This window comes from Homo sapiens, chromosome X, assembly GCF_000001405.40.
Source record: "Homo sapiens chromosome X, GRCh38.p14 Primary Assembly".
In the NCBI taxonomy this organism is placed as follows: domain Eukaryota; kingdom Metazoa; phylum Chordata; class Mammalia; order Primates; family Hominidae; genus Homo; species Homo sapiens.
Window position 1 is genome coordinate 44,306,018 of NC_000023.11, and position 22,113 is coordinate 44,328,130.

At 40.7% G+C, this 22,113-nt stretch overlaps 1 protein-coding gene and 1 pseudogene across 3 annotated transcripts in view; both read right to left on the reverse strand.

Annotated features, from left to right (window-relative positions):
• EFHC2 (EF-hand domain containing 2) overlaps nt 1-22,113 on the reverse strand; it is a 195,801-nt gene that overhangs the window by 158,146 nt on the left and 15,542 nt on the right. For all 3 annotated transcript variants that reach the window (XM_047442535.1, NM_025184.4, XM_047442536.1), the window contains exon 2: nt 6,551-6,739. In XM_047442535.1, coding sequence (XP_047298491.1) covers nt 6,551-6,739 — 189 coding nt within the window. The remainder of the gene's footprint in view (nt 1-6,550; nt 6,740-22,113) is intronic.
• Nucleotides 1,353-4,519, reverse strand: RRM2P3 (ribonucleotide reductase M2 polypeptide pseudogene 3; annotated as a pseudogene).

The window sequence follows — 22,113 nt, forward strand, 5'->3', positions numbered from 1 at the left end:
TAAGAAGTGGACCCCATATGGCAGGATCCAGGAACCAAAGAGATCGTGCTCTGGTGTCACCCCATAGCAGGATCCAATCAGATTATGCCTCCCAGCATCACCTCATTGCAAGATGCAATCAGATCACACCTCATTACACTATGCTTATAAAACCCGACCCAGCCCCCAGCTCCAGGAGACAGATTTGAGTGTTTCCTCCTGTCTCCTTGCCAATCAACTCAATAAACCTTTCTTGCTGCAAAAACCTGGTGCTTTGGCGTTTGGCTTTCCCTTGCATGCAGGTAAATGGACCCAGTTTGGTTCGGTAACACTAGTTCCAGACAGGAAAAACAAAAGGAGGGCAAAGGGTAGGAAAATCATACCTGCTGAGCCTGTTTTCATTAGAAAAATAGTAACTCTCCCACGAGCCCCACCCAATAAATCTTAATGCATATATCATTGGCCAAAAGTGAGTCATGCGGCCAGCCCTAGCTGCAAGGAGCCTGGGGAGGTAACACATTTAAGTGGGCACAATTCCAGCCTGCATAAAACCGTTCTGCCTATAAGAAGGAAGGGTAGAATGCATAAAGGATAAACAGCTAGAAGTGTCTGCCGCAGGGGCCATGCGGGATAACAAATACTGGCTCCTTTTCATGATTGCAAAAGGCATTTTCTCTGCTTGTAATGTGATAGTCTACTTGAGCAAGGCATTTTGGTGGTTGCTTTCAGAATTATGGATTAAAACCTGGAATGTTGTCTTAGGTTGGGGTTCCATAGAGGCAGAGCCTGAAACAGGGATTTTAGTGCATGTGATTTATTAAGGGCAGACTCTTGGGAGAAACCTGTAAGGGAGTGAGGGAAGCAGCAAAGGAAAGGGAAATGAACCGCGCAAGCAAGGATGCATTCTCAGGTCAAGTGTAGCCTTGGTCTGATGCACGAGGGGCTATGGAGCCTGAATCATAGCAAAGAATTATCCCCCCTTCAGGCAAGGAAGCTGACCTTTTTTTACCCTTGATAAATCAGTTATTAGCTGCCCCCTCTTAGGGGAAAGGGGCCAGTGTAACCTCTCAGGTGTCTCTGAGAGATGCAACTCCCATCAGCCAAGAGCAAGTCTCCAGAGAGGGTTACAGGTGTGAGCTGTTTGTCAAACCATTTGTCACAGCTGGGGGTGGGGGATCACCACCCCAGCATGGATCTGGGTGGGCACAAAGAGCATCTACTACAAATATTAATTTTAATACACTTTCCAAAGAACTGTCTTTATTTTTACTTTGTATTATTTGAGAGTGTAATGCTAGATATATTGCTAGGATTAAAAGCTACTGGAAAAACTGGCAACAAGTTGAAAACGTCTTTTATTTTTTTTGGCTTTCTTCATTTTAATGTTGTACAAGTATAAGGACCATATAATCTGGATTAACTTTAGGTAACAATAACTTAAAAGATAGGAAAATGTATTATATTACAGAGATTTAAAAATTGACTATACCATAAATGATGAAGGAAACTAACAATAGAACAGGACAATGTTCAAATAGCGAATACAATTAACAAATGGGGCCAAAAGATCAACATTTATCTCTCATCATCTTTCATGCAATGTCTCAGCTTTCTTCTCCCAAACATAAAGGCAGATTAATTCAAAGTAGCCGTATTAAGAATATTTGTTTATCATGCCTGTAATCCCAGCACTTTAGGAGGCTGAGGTGGGTGGATCACCTGAGGTCAGGAGTTCGAGACCAGCCTGACCAACATGGTGAAACTCCATCTCCACTAAAAATAAAAAAATTAGCCAGGTGTGGTGGCACATACCTGCAGTCCCAGCTACTCGGGAGGCTGAGACAGGAGAATTGCTTGAACCCAAGAGGCAGAGGTTGCAGTGAGCCAAAATCGCACCACTGCACTCCAGACTGGGCTACAGAGCGAGACTTTGTCTCAAAAAAAAAAAAAAATTTTGTTTCGTTCTGAAATTAATATTTGAATGGAAACTGTATGAATAACTCATGGTTTCCTACTGAAGTTTAAGATTCCCCTAGATAATACTCAGATTTAGACAATGCTAGAATAAGACACTGGGTGATTATTTTAAAGTATGAACTACAGGTAAAATCTAAAAGGACATACATAATAAAAAATTTCTGATTTAAAAGACATAGTAAATATAAATGAATTAACTCACACAACGTACTTACACACAAACAAAACTAGAATAAACAACAACTTGTAGGAACCACCTCTAGTTGATTTCACCACTTAACAGGAGCAAGATCTTAGGTTGGTCATTTTGTTTAAGGATGACTTGAAGTTTTACAATACTACCTTAGCTCCCACATATAAGTGCTTTTAAAGCATTATCTCATTTAATTTAATCATAGCACATAAAAAAGACCTCAATAAAAAGAGACATATTCTTGTATTAAAAGAAAAAAAAAAGAAAAAAAAACTCTTCAATAGTTTTTTCTTATCAACTAGAAATTGGGGAAAATATAGTGAGAAATAAAATGGAACGGCTTCTCACACATATGAAGGCCCAGATCACGCCTAAATTTCTAGTGATTTAACTTAAGAAGCTCCTTGCCCTGAGAGATTCCTTTATCCCACAACACTCTACTCAGAGGGGGCAGAGAATCCCAGGACACTACCCAAGCCGCAGGATAAAAACACAACCTGTCTTCTATCTGGCACCAACAGACTAGTATCTATCTAAACACAGGACTGACTTTAAAGTTGGTTAACGAGTATTTTAATTCACTAAAATAAAACTTAGAAATTACATGCTTAGTCTACACAAGTTTAACTTACTTTAGTCACTTAGTGAATTGTGAATTGGCTCCCATTAGTGGTCAGGAGAATGCTTTGTATTTGGTGTAGAAACCAAATAAATCAAGCTATTATCGCCTTGTGAGTACAAACAATGTTTATTTGTTTGTAAAGTGCCAGTTTTATATTTAAGTAAACATTGAAATCTGCGCTGAAGCAGTGAGGCTGCATCTTTCAACTTTCAACTCCCTGTGCTGGTTAAATGACTGTTTAATCCTGCTGTGCCAAGCTCACTAGAGGGTCAACCCTCACTTTAAAGCCAAGACTGCCATTGTCACTGCTATAGTAAGTCACAGCCAGCCAGGCCTGCTGGCAAAAGGTGATACTACCAGCATTATAAATAAACAGGACTGGTTGTGAGGTAGCTACACAGTTTTAAAGATGCTGTTAATGAACATTATGGACAATTCATGGTGTGGCTAGTTGATAATACTTCAGCTGATTTTTTTTATGAGATGGAAAAAAATCAGCAAAATAAGGGCACATCTTCAGTTCATTTAGAAGTCAGCATTTAAGGTAAAAGAATTCTCTTTTGGACTTGACACCACTCCCATCCTCTGATACTCGCCTACTCTCCTCTCAAAGAAGTTAGTCTTTCAGTGAAATATTCTCCGTAAAGTCAAATGGGCTCTCTACTCCGAAAACCTTGCTAAAACCCAGTTCCAGCATAAGTCTGTCTGCCACAAACTCAATGTATTGCTTCATTAGAGTGCAATTCATCCCAATGAGCTTCACAGGCAAGGCCTCGGTGAGGAATTCTTGTTCTATCTGAACAGCATTGATAATTATTTCTCTCACTTTCTCCTCCGATGGTTTGTGTACCAGGTGTTTGAACATCAAGCAAGCAAAATCACAGTGTAAACCCTCTTCTCTGCTAATAAGTTCATTGGAAAACGTGAGGCCAGGCATCGGTCCTCGTTTCTTGAGCCAGAATATCGATGCAAAAGAACCAGAAAAGAAGATGCCTTCTACTGCAGCAAAGGCTACAACACGTTCACCATAGGTAGCCTCTTTGTCCCCAATCCAGCGCAAGGCCCAATCTGCCTTCTTCTTGACACAAGGCATCGTTCAATGGCATTGAAGAGAAATTCCCTTTCTTTGGGATCTTTGATGTAAGTGTCAATAAGGAGACTATACATTTCAGAATGTATGTTTTCCATGGCAATTTGGAAGCCATAGAAACAGCGGGCTTCTGTAATCTGAACTATTTGGCTAAATCGCTCCACCAAATTTTCATTTATTATGCCATCACTTGCTGCAAAGAAAACCAGAACATGGGATATAAAATATCTCTCCTCGGGCTTCAGGGATTCCCAGTGCCGAATGTCCTTGGACAGGTCCACCTCCTCGGTGGTCCAGAAGGAAGCCTCCGCCTTCTCATACATCTGCCAGATATCATGGTACTCGATGGGGAAGATGACAAAGCGGCAAGGGTTTCCTCTCAGCAGCGGCTCATCCTCCACGCCGGGGGCAGCTGCTTTAGTTTTCGGCTCGCGGGCTCCTGGAAGATCCTCCATGCAGTCTTGCTGGCCAGAACCCGGGTCCCGCTCAGGGCCGGCGGCCTGTTCACCTTGTCGACCAGGCTGAGCCCCTTCAGCGGCGAGAGCTGCAGCTGCTGCGGGTCCGTAATGTGCAGCAGCGGGACGCGGACGGAGAGCATGGTGGTAGCGCGGCAAAGGAGAGTGAGGGGCCGGGACCGGGCGGCTGGGATGGGGTGCACTGAAAATGTCTCATTTTTAAGACAAATGATTAACAAGTGTTGACTTGTTTTTGTTGAACCGCTAATGTAGAAAGCGCTTTATAATTTGCTTGGGGTATTAACCAGGATCTAGTCTGTAGTTCACAGTCTCATCAGAGCACGTAAATATTTCAGTCTTAGTGTCTCATTTAAAGCTCAATGAATATTTAATAGAAGTTGACCAACAAAATAACTGAAAGAATTATGTTGCATTTAGTTAGCCCTGAAATGAGCAAGCTCTTCGTTTACTCAAGTAGTCTGAAGCTAAAATTATTCCAGATTCATGAAATATTCTACATAAGTAATTAAAGGCCTGCAAAATAGGCTTGAAAGGCACATATTAAATATTGAGAAAAACATGAAATGACTTTTCGACTTGAAATGCAAGAGAATAGTTTAATATTAATACATTGTGGCCTACGATACTTATTCAGTAGTGGATTAGTTTAAAATATTGTCGATACCCTCTATTTTACATGAGGTAAAAATAGAATCTTTTCTTTGGCCCATGCAAAGTAAACATCCTATAAGATTGAGAGTAACAGAAAACTATGCATAATCCACCCAAGTCAGTCAGCCCAGAATTGTTTTTGAGCTTTGGGTCCAGCACTGAGCCAGGTACTGAAAATAATCCAAGAAAAGAATATTGGCCCATGTTGAAAGGAGAAATGGTTTCCCAGGAAGGAAGCCTCCCTGTGGTCTGTTAGATCACTATAAGTGTCAGAACTAGGCTTCAAAAAAAAATGTGCACTCTAATTGATCTACCCTATCACAGATGACATGGGGATGTGTCAATTTGAGGACATTTTAATTAGAATCAAAGTACTGCCAACCAATCCATGTTAAAAGCTGCTAAAAACCACCTGGTAAACTTAGCATGCTATGGTTTCAATTCTTTATCTAGTCCTGAACTATCTTTCAATTACAGGATCTAAAATAATCTAATAACTAGTTCTTTCTGGAGAACAGAACATTGGGCTGTGATACAGGGCTATCTGATAAACACAGCATATCCATATAGCTGGTCGCCTTTTCTTTCCTCTGATCTTAGCCTTTTTAAAAAATATTCAAATACATTCCTTTTTCTAACTGCCAATATGTCCATATGTATATGTGTGTGTATGTGTATAGACATATACATTAAAAAATTCCAACTCTTGTCTAATAATGGCATCACTTCCTTTCACTATTCTTCTTGCCACATCACATTTTAGCCCTTAGGGATGGGGAATCATTACTACGGTTTATTACTAATTAGTATGGAGAAAAGAAGAGAAGGCATTTTTCTATTCCTATTTAAAGCCACATTCAGACTCAAACACAATTATTTAGTCAATGGCAACTCAAAAGCAAAAGTGACAATCTGACGAGACTCTTAGTTTCTATAGGACAGATTATCCTGTCCAGTGAAGGAGATGAGAGAAAGGTTAATAAGCATTAGCCAAGAAAGATAAACATTTGGCATTCTGCAACCAATGTGCCTGATAAAAAAGAGCAGAGCAAGAATGATTTTTCTTTGTTTAGGATACTTTTGTTCTTGAATTTATCTTTTCAGAAGAACTAACCTTAGTCAAAAGAAGCAAAATTTCACTTAGGAGGAATACGTTTAAGAGATCTATTGTATAACACAATGACTATAGCTAATAACAATGTATTGTATATTTGAAAATTGTAAGACAATAGTGTTTTCATCACAAAAAAAGAGAAGCACATGAGGTAACGCATATGTTAATTAGCTCAATTTAGCCATTCCATAGTGTATACATATTTCAAAACATCATGTTGTACACCATAAATATATACAATTATGTTTGTCAATTTAAACAAATAAAGACAAAGGGAGAAACACTAAAAATAAAACACTAAAAATAAAGGCAATAATAAGTAGAAAAGGCAAAAAGAAAAAGAACTAGCCTTAACATTTACACTGAAGACTCCTACTTTCTCAAAACTAAATTATTTAGCATCTGTAAAATGCTAAGACTGCATTCCTCCCAGTGTCATGTGACTTACCTGTTTATCAAAGGCTACCCATGATGGTACATCACTTCCATCTCCTTTAGGATATATGCTACATTTAGGCTTTATCTTTTGCCCCAGAAGTGGTTCTCCACCTATTCCAGGCTTTTCATCACTCACCAACATCATAACATTGTTGCAAAAGCCCCAATGTTGGGATTTGTGAAACTTCTCCTTTCCCACCTGTGAACATAAGAGACAACATAAAATAGCCAAAGTTACTCTTTATGACTTTTCTAACCTGTTTGTAAAATGTCAACACATTTTCTTACCATGTATTTTTCCCTCACAAAATGCAAATAAAGTGGCAAATAATTATGATCAATCTTTATCCATAAAGTTGTGTCACATTCTTAAATTTAATTCATTTTAATCAATTCAAAACATTGAAAAGCAGTACACATAAACCTAATGTTCCATGCTATATAAAACATTAAAAAATGACTGTTACTGCAAGTAAATATTTAGAACATTAGCTTGCTAATTGGTCTTTCCTACTTGTTTGCCAAGAATGCAAACAGCAAAAAAAAAAAAAAAAAGAAAGAAAGAAAGAAAAAACTGCTCTGCTTCAGAATAAAAAGTGTATGTAACTGTTTTCCACAGAAGTCTAAACATTATTTTCACCAAAACAGAGAACAAAATCTTTTCCTCATTAAAGTAAATGTAACAGGAAATTCTTCAGAGCTGACATTCTCCTTTAATTGAAAAACCTTAACTCCCACCTTTTCTGGTGATCTGGAGAGAGAGGAGAAAGCACAGATACAACTACCAAGGGTTGGCAAGGACATGGCCAACATCAACATTTGTGCACTGCTGGTGGGAAGGTAAAGTAGGACAATCACTCTGAGGAGCGATGTGGCAATACGAGCAAAGAGAGAGGCATATATGTCCTATGGCCTAGCCAATCCACTCCTACAGAAGTATCTTGTCTTAGGCACAAGGAACTGCATATCAGACTATTGTTATAGCATTGTTTGCAAAAGTGAAAAATAGGAAACCACTGAAATGTCTACCCAATAGCAGAAAAGATACATCTCTTTATAACATGGAATATTAATACAGAGTCTAATATTACACGTATCAATATAGACAAATCTAGGCCAGGCACAGTGGCTCACACCTGTAATCCCAGCACTTTGGGAGGCTGAGGCGGGAGGATCACCTGAGGTCAAGAGTTCTAGACCAGCCTGGCCAACATGGTGAAACCCCATCTCTACTAAAAATATAAAAAATTAGCCGGGCATGGTGGTGGGCACCTGTAATCCCAGCTACTTGGGAGGCTGAAACAGGAGAATCGTTTGAACCTGGGAGGCGGAGGTTGCAGTGAGCCGAAATCATGCCACTGCACTCCAGCCTGGGCAACAAGAGCAAAACTCTATCTCAAAAAAACAAACAAACAAAATAGACAAATCTCAAAAACTGCCAGGCAAAAAATATAGGTAGCTGAAGTACACATAAAATTTCACGACACATATGTAAAGCTGGAAAATACTCGAAAAATACGGTAATATTTATGGATAATACATGCATAGAAATGATAAGCAGCAAATACAAGATTATACAATGTTCATGATAATAAATGAACACTCATATGCCCCACAGCCCTGCATAAAAAATAAATACCTCAGAGATAACTGAAGCTTTATCTCAGAGCTCATAGCCCTGCCTCCCTTATCCAGAGGTAACCATTATCCTGAATTTGCTTCTTTAATGTTAGCACACTGCCCAGGACTGTATATAGCCAGGGCAATAGCCTCTTGCAAAACATGATGCCTTGGCAGAGAAGTCTGATAAGGTCAAAAATACCTCATTTCCTTTTGTGGTAAAGGCAGCCTGGAAGAATGAGGAAGGCCTGAGCAGCCCTCCCCAGGGGAGTCAGGGCCATAACAGCTGCCCTGGGCAGATAACAGCCCAGCTCTAGGGCTGGGAGAGGAAAGCTAGATGCAGTGGTTAGGATGGTGAGCTGTAGCTGGCTCTGTCCCTTAGGGAATCAATTGTCGCTACCTCCACCATTCCCTCCACTCTCTCTCTCTGTCTCTCTCTCTCACACATACACACACACACACTTGCTCACACATACAATCAGATTACCACAAGTCAGTCCCAGATCCCCATAAAACAAAGCAAAAGTTGGGTTTCAGAAAATGAATCGTAGAATAATATAGAATTCAATAATGATATACTGTCTCCTAAAGCAAGTAACTCCGAGTAATCACAAAGTCACCTCGAACCAACAAATGTTTCTTAAGTACTTACTATAGTCCTAACTTTGTGCCAAATATACGAGTTAAAATAAGCATAAGACTCAGCCCCTGCCCTGAAGAAAAAAACCCACAATCTTGCGGAGGAAGCAAGATTTAGATATATAAAATGATACCGTTTGGATGTTTGTCCTCTCCAAATCTCATGTTGAAATGTGATTCTCAGTGTTGGAGGTGGGGGCCTGGTGGGAGGTGATTGGATCGTGGGGGCAGATCTCTCATGAATGGTTTCACACCATCCCCTTAGTGATAAATGAGTTGTCGCTCAGTTATTTCACATGAGATCTGCTTGTTTAAAAGAGTCTGGGACCTCCCCCTTCTCTCTCTTTCTCCCACTCTCACCATGTGATACACTGGCTCTCCCTTTGCCTTCCACCATGATTGGAAGCTTTCTGAGGCCCTCATCAGAAGCAAATGCCAACACCACACTTCTTGTACAGCCTGCAGAACCATGAGCCAATTAAGCCTTTTTTTTTTAATAAATTACCCAGCCTCACGTATTTCTTTATAGCAACACGAGAACAGCCAAATACAGCAAACAACTAGAAAACAGTACAGCTACCATTTTTGACCGCTTACTATGAGCTGGATGCTTTACTAAGGGTTTTATATCTCATTTATTATCTCATTTCACTGTCACAGAACTGTTTTAGCAGTGTTATTACTGCCATTTTTCCAATGAGGAAACCAAGGCAGAGAGAGGGAGACTGGCCCACCCAAGCTTACACAGTAACTAGTGGAGCCTGCATCTGAACCTAAGATCATGTGACCCTAAGCTCTGGTAAGTGTATAGCTAAGTGTATGGCTGACTAGAGCCATACACTGATGTGCTGGAGTAGTAGTGTTGAGGTTCTGTGGATAACTGGATACTGTCTTGGGCCTGGAGGAATGAGATGAATTAGATAGGAGAGGAGAGGCAAGGATGTTCCAAGCAGGGTTAGGAGTGATGTACTGCAGCTGAGCTGACAGCACCTAGGAGAGGGGCGAATCTGGTAAAAAAAGAAAGTCAAGGTCAAGTTTGGAAGGAGGGCGAGCTAGAGTAGAATATATAAGGAGGACTATATCATGAAAAGCCTCTCATGTAAATATCTTAAAAGTCTCCCTCATCAGGCCACTGGAATATTTACTAAAGCCTAATACCGGCCAGGCCCTATTCTAGAGAGTATGGTATAAAGATGAAGTCACAGCCAGCCTTCCTTCCCCTGAGGAGCTTTCTCCACTACTCACAAGTTTCCTCCATGGATCTAGGTTTCCATAATCACATGGAAAAAGCCCTTGCCACCGTTGAAGGCCTCACTCAGCTACCTGTCCCCCAGAATTCCACAATTTGTTCATGTGTACCCTCCTCTTTGGTCAGACCACATCTTACAGCTTATAAGGTACCTTAATGTCTATTCAAAGTCATGTCCCTGGTCAGGCTATACTTCTACACAAACCCCTCTCCCCACCAAGGGTCAGCTCACATCCCACTACATAGTCATCCCTTCTACAAACATCTGGTGAGCATCCATTGGGTGCTAAGTTGTGAGAGACTTTGGGGACATGGCCTTGGGCAAGCCACAGCTCCCAACCCTAGAATAGAAGCCAGTCACTATGGCTCTGGATTTGGCAATGGGTTTCATACATGTGGCACCAAAAGCACAAGCAACAAAAGGAAAAATAAATTGGGCTTCATCAAAATTAGAACTGTGTGTCAAAGGATACTATCAAGAGAGTGAAAAAATCCATAGAATGAAGTTTGGGTGAGGTGGCTCAAGCCTGTATCCCAGCAACACTTTAAGAGGCTAAGCTGGGAGAATCACTGGGGCCCAGGAGTTCAAGACCACCCTGGGCAATAGAGTGAGATGTCATTTCTAAAAAACAGAGAAACCCAGAGAATGACAGAAAATATTTGGAAATCATATAAGGGTCTATTATATAGAATATATAAAGATTCTCACAACTCAGCAAAAACACAAACAATTGAATTTAAAAATGGGCAAAGGATGTGGTAGACTGCCACAGTTACTACTTGAGACTGTCACCACGACAGTTACTACTTTTACTACTTAAGACCGTCATTACAACAGTTACTACTGTTAGTACTTGAGACCGTCATTACAACAGTTACTACTGTTAGTACTTGAGACCGTCATTACAAGAGTTACTATTGTTACTACTTGAGACCGTCATTACGAGACTGAACGAAGGGGGATGAACATAGAAATGAAAACTTAAGACAAAAGAAACTGTTTTAAAGGAAGGGTCCGGGGAAGAAGAGAGCTCCCTGCTTCTAGTGAGCAAAGGCAGCCCCCCTGAGCTTCCACAGCCCTTCGTATTTATTGGGTAGAATGAGTAGGGAGGAGGAGGTAATGATTGGTCAGCTCCTTAATTGATCACAGGTTCATATTATTACTAACAGGCTTCTGATGTACCTAATCACAATAAACACTGCACTTGGGGCATAACTGCCCTCAGCATTCCTTCTGGGTGGCAGACGCAGTTTGTCAGTTTGCCAACATTCTGCATTTATGAGAAAGTTTGCTGTTTACTCATATAGCCTCCAGTGGTATACTGAGTTGACCACGACCCTCATTTCTCCAAAGAAGATATACAAATGGCCAACAAGCACATGAAAATATGTCCAATGCCATTAGTCATTAGGGAAATGTAAATCAAAAGTACAATGAAGCCTGGCACAGTGGCTCACACCTGTAATCTCAATACTTTGGGAGGCTTAGGCAGGCAGATCATTTGAGTCCAGGAGTTTGAGACCAGCCTGAGCAACATGGTGAGACCTTGTCTCTACATAAAATACAAAAATTAGCCAGGCATGGCGGTGCATGCGTATAGTCCCAGCTACTCGGGAGGCTGAGGTGAAAGGAGCGCTTGCGCTCACGAGGCTGAGGCTGTAGTGAGCTATGAAGCTATGATCGCACCACTGCACTCCAGCCTAAGCGACGGAGACCCTGTCTCAAAAATAAATACATATATACATACATATACTGTGATAACGCTTCACATTCACTAGGGTGGCTATAATTTTTTTAAAATGAAAAATAAATGTTGGTGAGGATGTGGAGACATTGGAACTGTCACACCTTGCTGGTGGGGATGTACACTAGTATGGCTGCTGTGGAAAACAGTTTGGCAGTTTCTCATTAAGTTAAACATAGAATCATCATATGATCCAGCAGTTGCACTTCTCAGTATATTCTCAGGAGAATTGAAAACATACATCCACAGAAAGAAACTTACACATAAATGTTCATAGCAGCATTATTTACAATAGCCAAAAGGTGGAAACATCCCAAATGTCTATCAGCTGATGAATGGTTAAACAGTTGTGGTATATCCATACAATGGAATGTTATTCTGCCGCCAAAGGGAACAAAGCACTGATATCGTGCTACCATGTGGATGAACCTTGAAAACATTATGCTAAGAGAAAAAAGCCAGATACAAAGGGCCACATATTATATGATTCCATTTATATGAAATATACAAAATAGGCAAATTCATAGAGACAGAAGGCAGATTAATGGTTGGCAGGGACTGGGAGGAAGAAAGAATGGGGAGTGACTGCTTACCGGGTACAGGTTTCCTTTGAAGTGATGAAAATTTTCTTGAAACAGTGGGGACAGCTGCACAGCGTTGTGAATGTACAAAATGCCACTGAATTGTATAATTTAAATGGTTAAAATGGTAACTTTTATACTTTGTATATTTTACCACAATAAAAAAGAAAACCCCAGCCAGCATGAGATTCACACACCACAAATGAGCTATATGATGACCAAGCCCAGGGATGGGCAGATTCATGAGGCCTTCTCTGACCACCAGCCCTTCGTCGTGTACATGCACCATAATATGTGCACATACTCGTGTTTGATTTGTCTCAACTAGATGACACATTTTTTAAACTCTGGGACCATGGTGTATATTTCTGCCTTTTTCTATGTCCCCTCACCATCTAACATATTGCTGCAGATACAGGAAGCCCATAAAACTTGAGTGGTAGATTCACTGGTTGCCAAATTGAACATTGTGGTCTGGATCAAATAGGCAACAAGGAGCCATTAAAGTTTCCCGAGGGACACAGGGACAATATGAGGCAGCACGTCTGAAGACAGATCCACTAACAGTGGGCAGGGTGGGTTGGAAGGGGGAAGGTCTGAAGGCAAAAGACTTTTTTTTTTTTTTTTTTGAGACAGAGTCTCACTCTTGTCGCCCAGGCCGGAGTACAGTGACGTGATCCCAGCTCACTGCAACCTCCACCTCCCAGGTTCAAGCAATTCTCCTGCCTCAGCCTCCCAAGTAGCTGGGATTACAGGTGCCCACCACTACACCTGGCTCTTTTTGTATTTTCAGTAGAAACGGGGTTTCACCACGTTGGCCAGGCTGGTCTCAAACTCCCAGGCTCAAGTAATCCGCCTGCCTCAGCCTCCCAAAGTGCTGGGATTATAGGTATAAGCCACTGCGCCGGGCACAAAAGACTTTTAAAGAGGCCACTGCCATATCTTAACATGAAGATCTTCAACCAATCTTAAACTGAAACTGATTAAGCAAGCCACAGCATGCCAACCCTTGCGCTGTCTCTGCACACAAACACCCGGGCCTCACTCTTTCCAGGGATGCCACCCTAGTTGGTAATGGAGACGATTTCAGAGGGCGCGCAAGAATGTTCATCTTCCTCTATCCTCTTCCTTTCGATTAAGGCAAGGGTGAGTCTCAATTTGGTAGTACTGACTATACCTCCCAAATACTTGCCTATAAAAAAGAAAGCAGGCCTCAGGCTCCTAACTTTTTGTAGGCATCAAATCTAAAAACACTGTTTTGTTTTCATTTCTTTTTTTCTTACCATGACCTTCCACTTAGATCAAATGATGTGGTTTTCATTTATGGTAAGGATATAAAGTTTCCCTTTTAAATATGTTTTAGTTTTCCAAAAGTGATTCAATTCACAGAGAGATATTAAGTAAATAATGGATCGGTTGGCATGTAGATACATTTTTTAAATTCCAAAGACAGCATGTATGCTTCTAAAGTTTCACAGCCTCTGACCCTATCAAACAAATGTCACAGGAGCAGATAAGTTTTTATTTATTTTATTTATTTTTTTTATTTTTTTATTTTTTTATTTTTATGAGACGGAGTCTCACTCTGTCACCCAGGCTGGAGTGCAGTGGTGCAATCTCGGCTCACTGCAACCTCTGCCTCCTGGGTTCAAGCAATTCTCCTGCCTCAGCCTCCCAAGTAGCTGGGATTACAGGTGCATACCACCACAACCAGCTAATTTTTGTATTTTTAGTAGAGACAGGGTTTCACCATGTTGGCCAGACTGGTCTTGAACTCCCAGCCTCAGGTGATCCACCCACCCTGGCCTCCCAAAGTGCTGTGATTACGGGCATGAGCCACTGCAACTGGCTTGGAGTAGATAAGTTTAAAGCACCTGGGAGGAGGGCAGGAATTAAGAGACAAAGAATAGTGATCCAGGAAGCAATGTGACCCTCAGGACCTGTGTCACATCCACAGTGTTCAGGAGCCTGGAGCAGAACAAGGGAGAAGGCACTGGGATTAACTGGCAGGCATAACAAAAGGGCTGGTAGTAGACTGAAGATAATTAGAAGGCTCTGGCCAGAAGACAGAGTGAAGTGGTGGGATAAAGCCATGCAACTAAGCAAACAAAAGTGACTGCAGTCAATTTATGATTTCCATATTCACGTGGGTCCTAACTGTCTCTCCTTGCAGTACTGGCTTACTTGTGTCCCTGATAAGTCAGTGATCAACAGCATTAGCCTCTCCCTTCCATGGCCTCCTTTCAATGAACTCATAAAGACACTCAAGTCTTTCAACTCTTAGAGGAAGAAAAGCCTCCTTCAGTGCCCTTAGTCTTGCTTTCGTTACCATCTTGACTCCCTCCCATCCTCTATCTTCATGTTTCACGAAACAGTAGTCTGCAGTCACCGAGAGTCCCTTCTCCCCTCCATTCACTCCTGCACTCTGGATTATCATACAACCTCCCCTGTTAGGCCTTACCTTGCAGGACACCACATTATTCTGGTGTTTGAAAGGTCTAGAGTCCTCTAACTTGAGACATGAGGTTAAGAGTATAAACAGGGGCCAGTGCCTTAGAGGTTTAAGGAACACTGGATTTTGTTTTGAGCAGGGCATAGAAAGGATCGCTCTGGCCACAATACAAAGAACTGGGGATATTGCAATAGTCCAGGCAAGAAATGATAGTGGCCTAGACCAGGTTAATAGAAGTAGAGACAGTGGAAGTGATCAAGTTCTGTATGTATCTTGAAGGTAGAACAAAAAGGATTTACCAATAGATTAGATGTAGGGTGTGGAAAAAGAGATGAGTTATTAACAACCCCAAGTATTTTGGCCTGAACAACGAGAAGAATGGAGTTTTAGGTGCTGGGATGTAGAATGGTGGGAGAGAACTTAAATGAGAATTCTGGAGGTAGGAGGCAGGCACAGGAGTCCAGAATTCTATTTTGGACATGTTACATTCAAGATACCACTCAGACAAGCAAGTAGAAATGTGGACTAGCAGGTGGATATGGGAGTCTGAAGTTCAAGCAAGAAGTCGAGGCTGGATATAAAAATTTGATATACATCAGTTGATGGATGGTATTTAAGGCTACAGTGCTGGAATGAATGATGATAGTGCAGAAAAGAAGTCCAAGACTGAGCTTTAAAATATCCCAATGTTACGTGATCAGGGAGATGGGGTAGAATTAGCAAACAAGACTAAAAAGGGGCAGCTGGTAAGATGGGAAGAACACCAGGAGAGTTTAGTATCATGGAAACTACCTAAAGAAAGCATTTGAAGGAACACGTGACTAACTGTGTTAAATGCTACTAATAATTCAAATGAAGACGAGGCTTGAGACTTGACCCCCTGATTTGGCAACATGGAGGTGGCTGGTGACCTTGACGAGAATGGTTTCAGCAGAATCATGGGGACAGAAATAGCTTGTGAACCATATGGCTCTTTGAACAGCTCTAGGTAAGGTATTGCAAATCAAAACTCTTGAGTTTCTAGTATTTATAATTTCCTTAAAATAACCCAAGCTCAGAAAAATGCAAGAAATAAATAAAAGATCATCTAAATGTCATCTCTTAAAGTCTTCTCTGACTGCCAGAGGCAGAACATTCTGTTCCTGCATAGATCTTCTATTAAAGTCTGGAAGGTTACCCTCTCTTTAACTATTTAGGAACTTACCCTTTCCCCTCCCCCACCCCCAGCTGTATCACCAGGGCCAGGCCAAGTGCCTAGAACAGAGAATAAAATGTTTTCTAAAAAATAATACACGTGCTCCTTGAAAGGGCAGCAGTGGTACAGACAAACAATCTCACAAGGTTCATTCTTGATTCATTCATTCTATACCCATAATTCCTGTACAGCCATCACTGTACTCACCATATTATACTATAGTTTCCTGTTTATATACTTGCATCTTATACTAGGCTTTGTACTTTCTGACAGTAAGGACTATAGGGCCTTGCACATAGTAGGTGTTCAATGAGCATCTATCGAATGAATAGAACATAAGCTGTGGATTATTTTCAAACAATCAGATATTGTCAGCTGATCTTTCCCTGTTCATGTTACCTGGCTTAGACCCCCTTAAATCTAATAATCAAACATTTGGAATGGAGAGCAGCACCAGGGAGTAATAGGGTCATAAAGGATAGGACAGGAGACCTGGCATCAGAAGCCTGGCATTCACCTTCCAGCTTTGCCTCTATGGGTCATGTGATGCTGGAGCAGTCACTTTACTTCTCCAGAGGCTTGCCATGTCTAAAGTGAGAATAATAATACCTGCTTCACGAGACAGTGGTTAGGACTAAGTGAGAGAATATCTGTGCCTGTGCCTGCCTGTTAGCATTTATTATTTTGTTTTCTCAAGAGGAAGGACTTGGTATTGGCTTTTAGAGAGAACTGAGTCAGAGCTCCAATAAAAAGGGACCAAGTATAGGAGTTCAAGACCAGCCTGGCCAACATGGTGAAACCCCGTCTCTGCTAAAAATACAAAAATTAGCCAGGTGTGGTGGCACGTACCTGTAATCCCAGCTACTCACGAGGCTGAGGCAGGAGGATCACTTGAACCTGGGAGGTGGAGGTTGCAGTAAGCCGAGATCGCACCACTGCACTCCAGCCTGGGTGACAGAGCAAGACTCCGTCTAAAAAAAAAAGGGACCAAGTATGACTCCCTTACTAACCAACCCAAGAGCTTATATGTTCTTTTCCACAAATAGATTTATAGATTTATCTCCACTTTTATGACATTCTTAGCCATAATAATATTTGCTCCATGAACATACATAAATTATGTGATCTTCATTCCTGGGTTAAATGTCACTTTTAACACTGTTCCTCTTAGTTCCATGGAAGCAGGGCCACATGTTAAATGCTGAATAAGAAACATTCAACATTTAACACAGGGCCTGATAGGCATGAGTCAATAGTTCTTCAACTTAAACATACCATCTATTTTTATGATTTATTTTTTGGGCAATCCACTGTAGCAAACAGCCAACCCTATGTATATAGATTAGGGTTACAGGAATTCAAAGGAGTATACTATGGAGCAGTCGATGCCAGAGAAAAAATCATGTAGAATTTGAGTCTTAAAGTGAACCTTGAACCATGCACTGAATTTGGGCAGAGTAAAAGACACTGAAACATGTTGAAGGACCAGGACTAGACCCAGCTAGATACAGGGGCATTTCCTATAGTAGTGGGACATGAACTTTGAAGAGTTAATGTGGAAATCAATCCATAGAGAGCCTTAAATAGCAAAATCAGACACTTAAACAACATCTTACGGGGTATGAGGCTCATTTCTGCTAGTATTTCTAAAGGAGGCTGAAGAGGTGGATTGAAATTCAAGAGCCCTCCACAAGGCTAACCTTCCTTTCCTACTCACTACCACAGCTGCAAGAGAAAGAGAAGGGGCTGGAAAAAACAAGGTCAAAAGAGGTATGCCTGAAACTTCCTTTGCAAAAATTATGACAGTAAAAGAAATGTGACCTACCTGACTCCATCCTGCTTCTAACCTCCAGGCTGCTCTTGTTCATTCCTGGACATAGGCCAAACCAACTTTGGGAGGAGTTGATAGTTTAAATTTGAAACAAAGATGATAACAGCCCCTCCCCAAAACAAACCCCTGCTCCTTGCTTGGGGACCAGATCACCTTTGTAAAACTAATAAATTAGCCACAAGATTGGAAATTATGGCTTAGGAATCACGCAGCCTGAGACCACAAGATTTCTAACCTCCCCAATTGCTCCCATAGATAACATTACTATTATAAAACCTAAGATAATTTTCAGACCCTGCATTCTGATGGATCAGCTGGCACCACCCAGACAGGTAAACTGGCTCATCTGATCTGTGGCCCCCATCCAGGAATTGACTCAGTGAAAGAGGGCAGCTTCAATTCCCTATGATTTCATCCCCAAACCAACCAATCAGCATTCCCCATTCCTTAGGCCCCTGCCTGCCAAACTATCTTTTAAAAACCTCTGTCTCAAAATTTTCAGGGAGACTGATTTGAGTAATAAAACTCTGGTCTCCCATTTAGCTGGCTCTGAGTGTATGAAACTCTATTGCAATTCCTCTGTTTTGAGAAATCGGCTCTATCTGGGCAGTGGGTAAGAAGAACCCATTGGATAGCTACATGCTTGCTTCTTTGAGGGGCAGCAACCACTGCAAACCCACCTCCCCCAACCCCTGCATACACACACACACACAATTGCTACAAACTCTTACCAGCATATCTTTGTCCAGCTATAATAGTAACAATAACTAAGAATATATGATGGGGCCTTTTAATTTTAAACATTAAAATCCACCAAGGCCAACAGAGTTGTGTGGAAGCATGTGGGGCCCATAAAATCCAACAATGCTATAAAAATTGAGAAGAAACCAAAATATATCAAAGTCAGAATGCAGTTCATTCAACCAAGTTGCAGCTAAATTTATGAGCAAATTCTCCACCCAAAGAGTATTATCCAGATACCTGTTAATCATTTCCAATTCTCTTGCTAAATAAAATAAAATCAGCCACACGTAATTATTTAAAACAATGCTTTTAGCATGAAAGGAACTATTACTAAAACCTCTCCAAAACTCTTGGCTTGTGAGTTGTGAATTCACACATTCAAACTCAAAACAACAAAACACACACACTTTTTTTTAAGTCCAGTGATGCCAATTGCTATTGTTATTCTAATTGACATAGCATGCAAAACTCCATTTTTGCACTATTAGAGTATTAGCTTGAAATTTCAATTCAGAATTCTATACCTTAGAAACTAACGCATTGAGAATTTGTTTGATATGATGTAACAGTCCATAGGGCACTTATTTAAAATGTTTGCCCCCATGCACACACACCCCCAGACACTTACAAAAACTTGAGATTTGCCATTATAGCCTCTTAAGATGGCATGGCAACCTGCCTTTGCCATAGTGACTGTGTATTGGTACTCAGTCTCAATTTAAGGAAATTAGCAAATGTCTTAGCAAATGATAAAGTTAGGAACATAACTATTCCTAGATCCTAGGTCAGTGCTCCTTGGCATCTCAACTCCCTGATTCCCATTCCACCACTGTTGGAAAGGTGGCAGCCAAATCCAGACTCTGCTTCATATCAAATTCAAAGCTACAATCAGCACCCCTTCCTCGTTGCTAAAAATTGGAAGGGCAATTTTATCACATGCATAAGTTGATTAATCAATTAGTTATCAAGGCCGCTACAGAAACCGTAAAGTTAATCCAAACTGAGAAGCTGGCTATAGTCATCTACATCAGGAGCTGTTGATCTGTTTGCAACCTCTATTTCAGAACTCCAGCACAGCAGTCTCTTGTTTCTTTCTAGCCTACACTCAAAAGCCCAGATGCTTGACAACCACAAGACAAAGGCAGGTAGTGTGAGGTGCCTGGTAAGAATGGGACAGCTTACTAGATAAGCCATGAGCTAGATAAGCCAATATAAATGTCATTTCTATTGCCACAATAGCTAACAATTGTAGCACTGTTCTAAGCACTTTAGAAGCATTAAACTTTTTTTTTTTTTTGAGACAGGGTCTTGCTCTGTCACCCAGGCTGGAGTGCAGTGGCGTGATCACAGCTCACTGCGGCCTTGACTTCCTGGGCTCAAGCTATCCTCCCACCTCAGCCTCCTGAGTAGCTTGGGACTACAGGTACACACTACCACACCCTGCTAATTTCTGTATTTTTTGTAGAGACGAGATTTCACCATGTTGCCCAGACTGATCTTGAACTCCTGGGCTCAAGTGATCTGCTCACCTCAGCCTCCCAAAGTGCTGGGATTACAGACATGAGCCACCATGTCTGGCCACATTAAATTCTCTTAATCATTGGGAGTATTAAAGGCTGGAAAGGGGAAGGAGAGGAGGTGGGGAGAGGTTGGTTAACAGATAAAAAATTACAGTAGATAGATGAAATGAGTTCTGGTGTTCTGTAGCACTGTAGGATGAATATGTTTAACTATAATTTATTATATATTTTCAAAAAGCTAGAAGAGAGGATTTTGAATGTTCTCAACACAAAGAAATGATAAATATTTGAGGTGATAAATATGCCTGATTTGCTCATTACACATTGTATACACATATGGAAAGACCACTCTTTATCTCATATATATGTACACTAAGAAAAGGAAAACCCAACAGAAAAATGGGCAATGGATTTGAAAAGGCACTTTGCAAAAAAAGGAAATGGAAATAGCCAATAAACATACTAAAATATAGTTAACCTCATTAATAAATGAGATATGCAAATTTTTTAATGCTCTTAATCCTCAGAGAGAAAAATCTCTGAGTATATTCTATCATCATCCCTATTTTATGCATGGAGTCTGATTTTTTTTTTTTTTTTTTTTTTTTTTTTTGAGACAGGGCCTCACTCTGTAGCCCAGGCTGGAGTGCAGTGGCACAGTCATGGCTCACTGCAGCCTCAACCTCCTGGGCTCAAGCGATCCTCCCACCTCAGCCTCCTGAGTAGCTGAGACTACAGGCGCATGCCACCACACCTGGCTAATTTTTGTATTTTTTGTAGAGACGGGGTTTCACCATGTTGACTAGGCTGGTCTCAAACTCCTGGGCTCAAGCGATCTGCCCACCTCGGCCTCCCAAAGTGCTAGGATTACAGGCAGAGCCACTGTGTCTGGCCTAGATGGGGATTCTGAGAGACAGAGTTTTAGTAATTTGCCCAAGGTCACTCAACTAGTATAAGTGGTGAATCCAGGAATGCAAACCCAACACCTGAGCCCTTAAGCAATGGGCCTCATATTCTTTGTGCTTTTTGAGAAAAGTAATAGATGTCTCCTTGTTTAAGTCATCAGGATTGAATTGTTACTTTTGCTTTTGGCAAATATAATAGCAAAAACATCCACCATGACCCGGAAGGGAGGAAATAGACCAAATAATTGGATCTAGACTCAATCCCTTAAAAGCTGGGGAAGTATTAAAAGAGAGTGCTGTAGAAATCCCTCTACAGTCACCAGCAGTTACTGGAAATTTGGGAATTGAAGAGAGATAGTTAATATTTAATATTTCAATAAACATTAACACAACTTATTTTTCTATTTTTTTAGGTTAATAGAAAATTTGATACAGAATTATCTAAAACTATCATTCTTAGATATTTCTGCCTGATCAGGTTCTGGACTAATTTGCTTCTATTCTGTGAATAGTGTGGGGTTTTTTCCTCCCTCGTCTAATATTTATTTTAAAAATTCATTTATTCTTTTCTTTTTTGCTGTACTTTCATGGAGAAGAAAAAGTCATTCAGCAGATACTGTGAACCTCCCAGAGAAAATAACAAAATTGCCTCAGGTATAGTGGGATCTAAGAATGTAAGACTATAAGAGCATGAAAGCCATCATTACTTATTAATTAAGCTAAATCACTCAAAAACTAACCCCAAATGTGCAAATTAAAAAGGCACGTCAAAGAAAATCTCAAACATTTTTTAAGCTAATTTCCTCTCTTTCTAAAAGTAACTTGAAAAAGTGTTGTGCTCATGATTCTTAGCCATCAACTCAATATAACAATAAGATTGATTTTATACATTTAATAATGTATTTAAATCAGTAGAGTGAAAAACAAAATTTAAATCAATAAGATCTGGAGATCTGCAGAATCTTTCTCATAAGGCTATGATATTTTTGCTCTAAATAATTCAACTTAAGGCACCAATCAATAAACAGAATTCTAAAGATTTTACCCAAAGTAAGTTGAAACCACTGGCTCACGGTAGCTGATTCGTGCAGC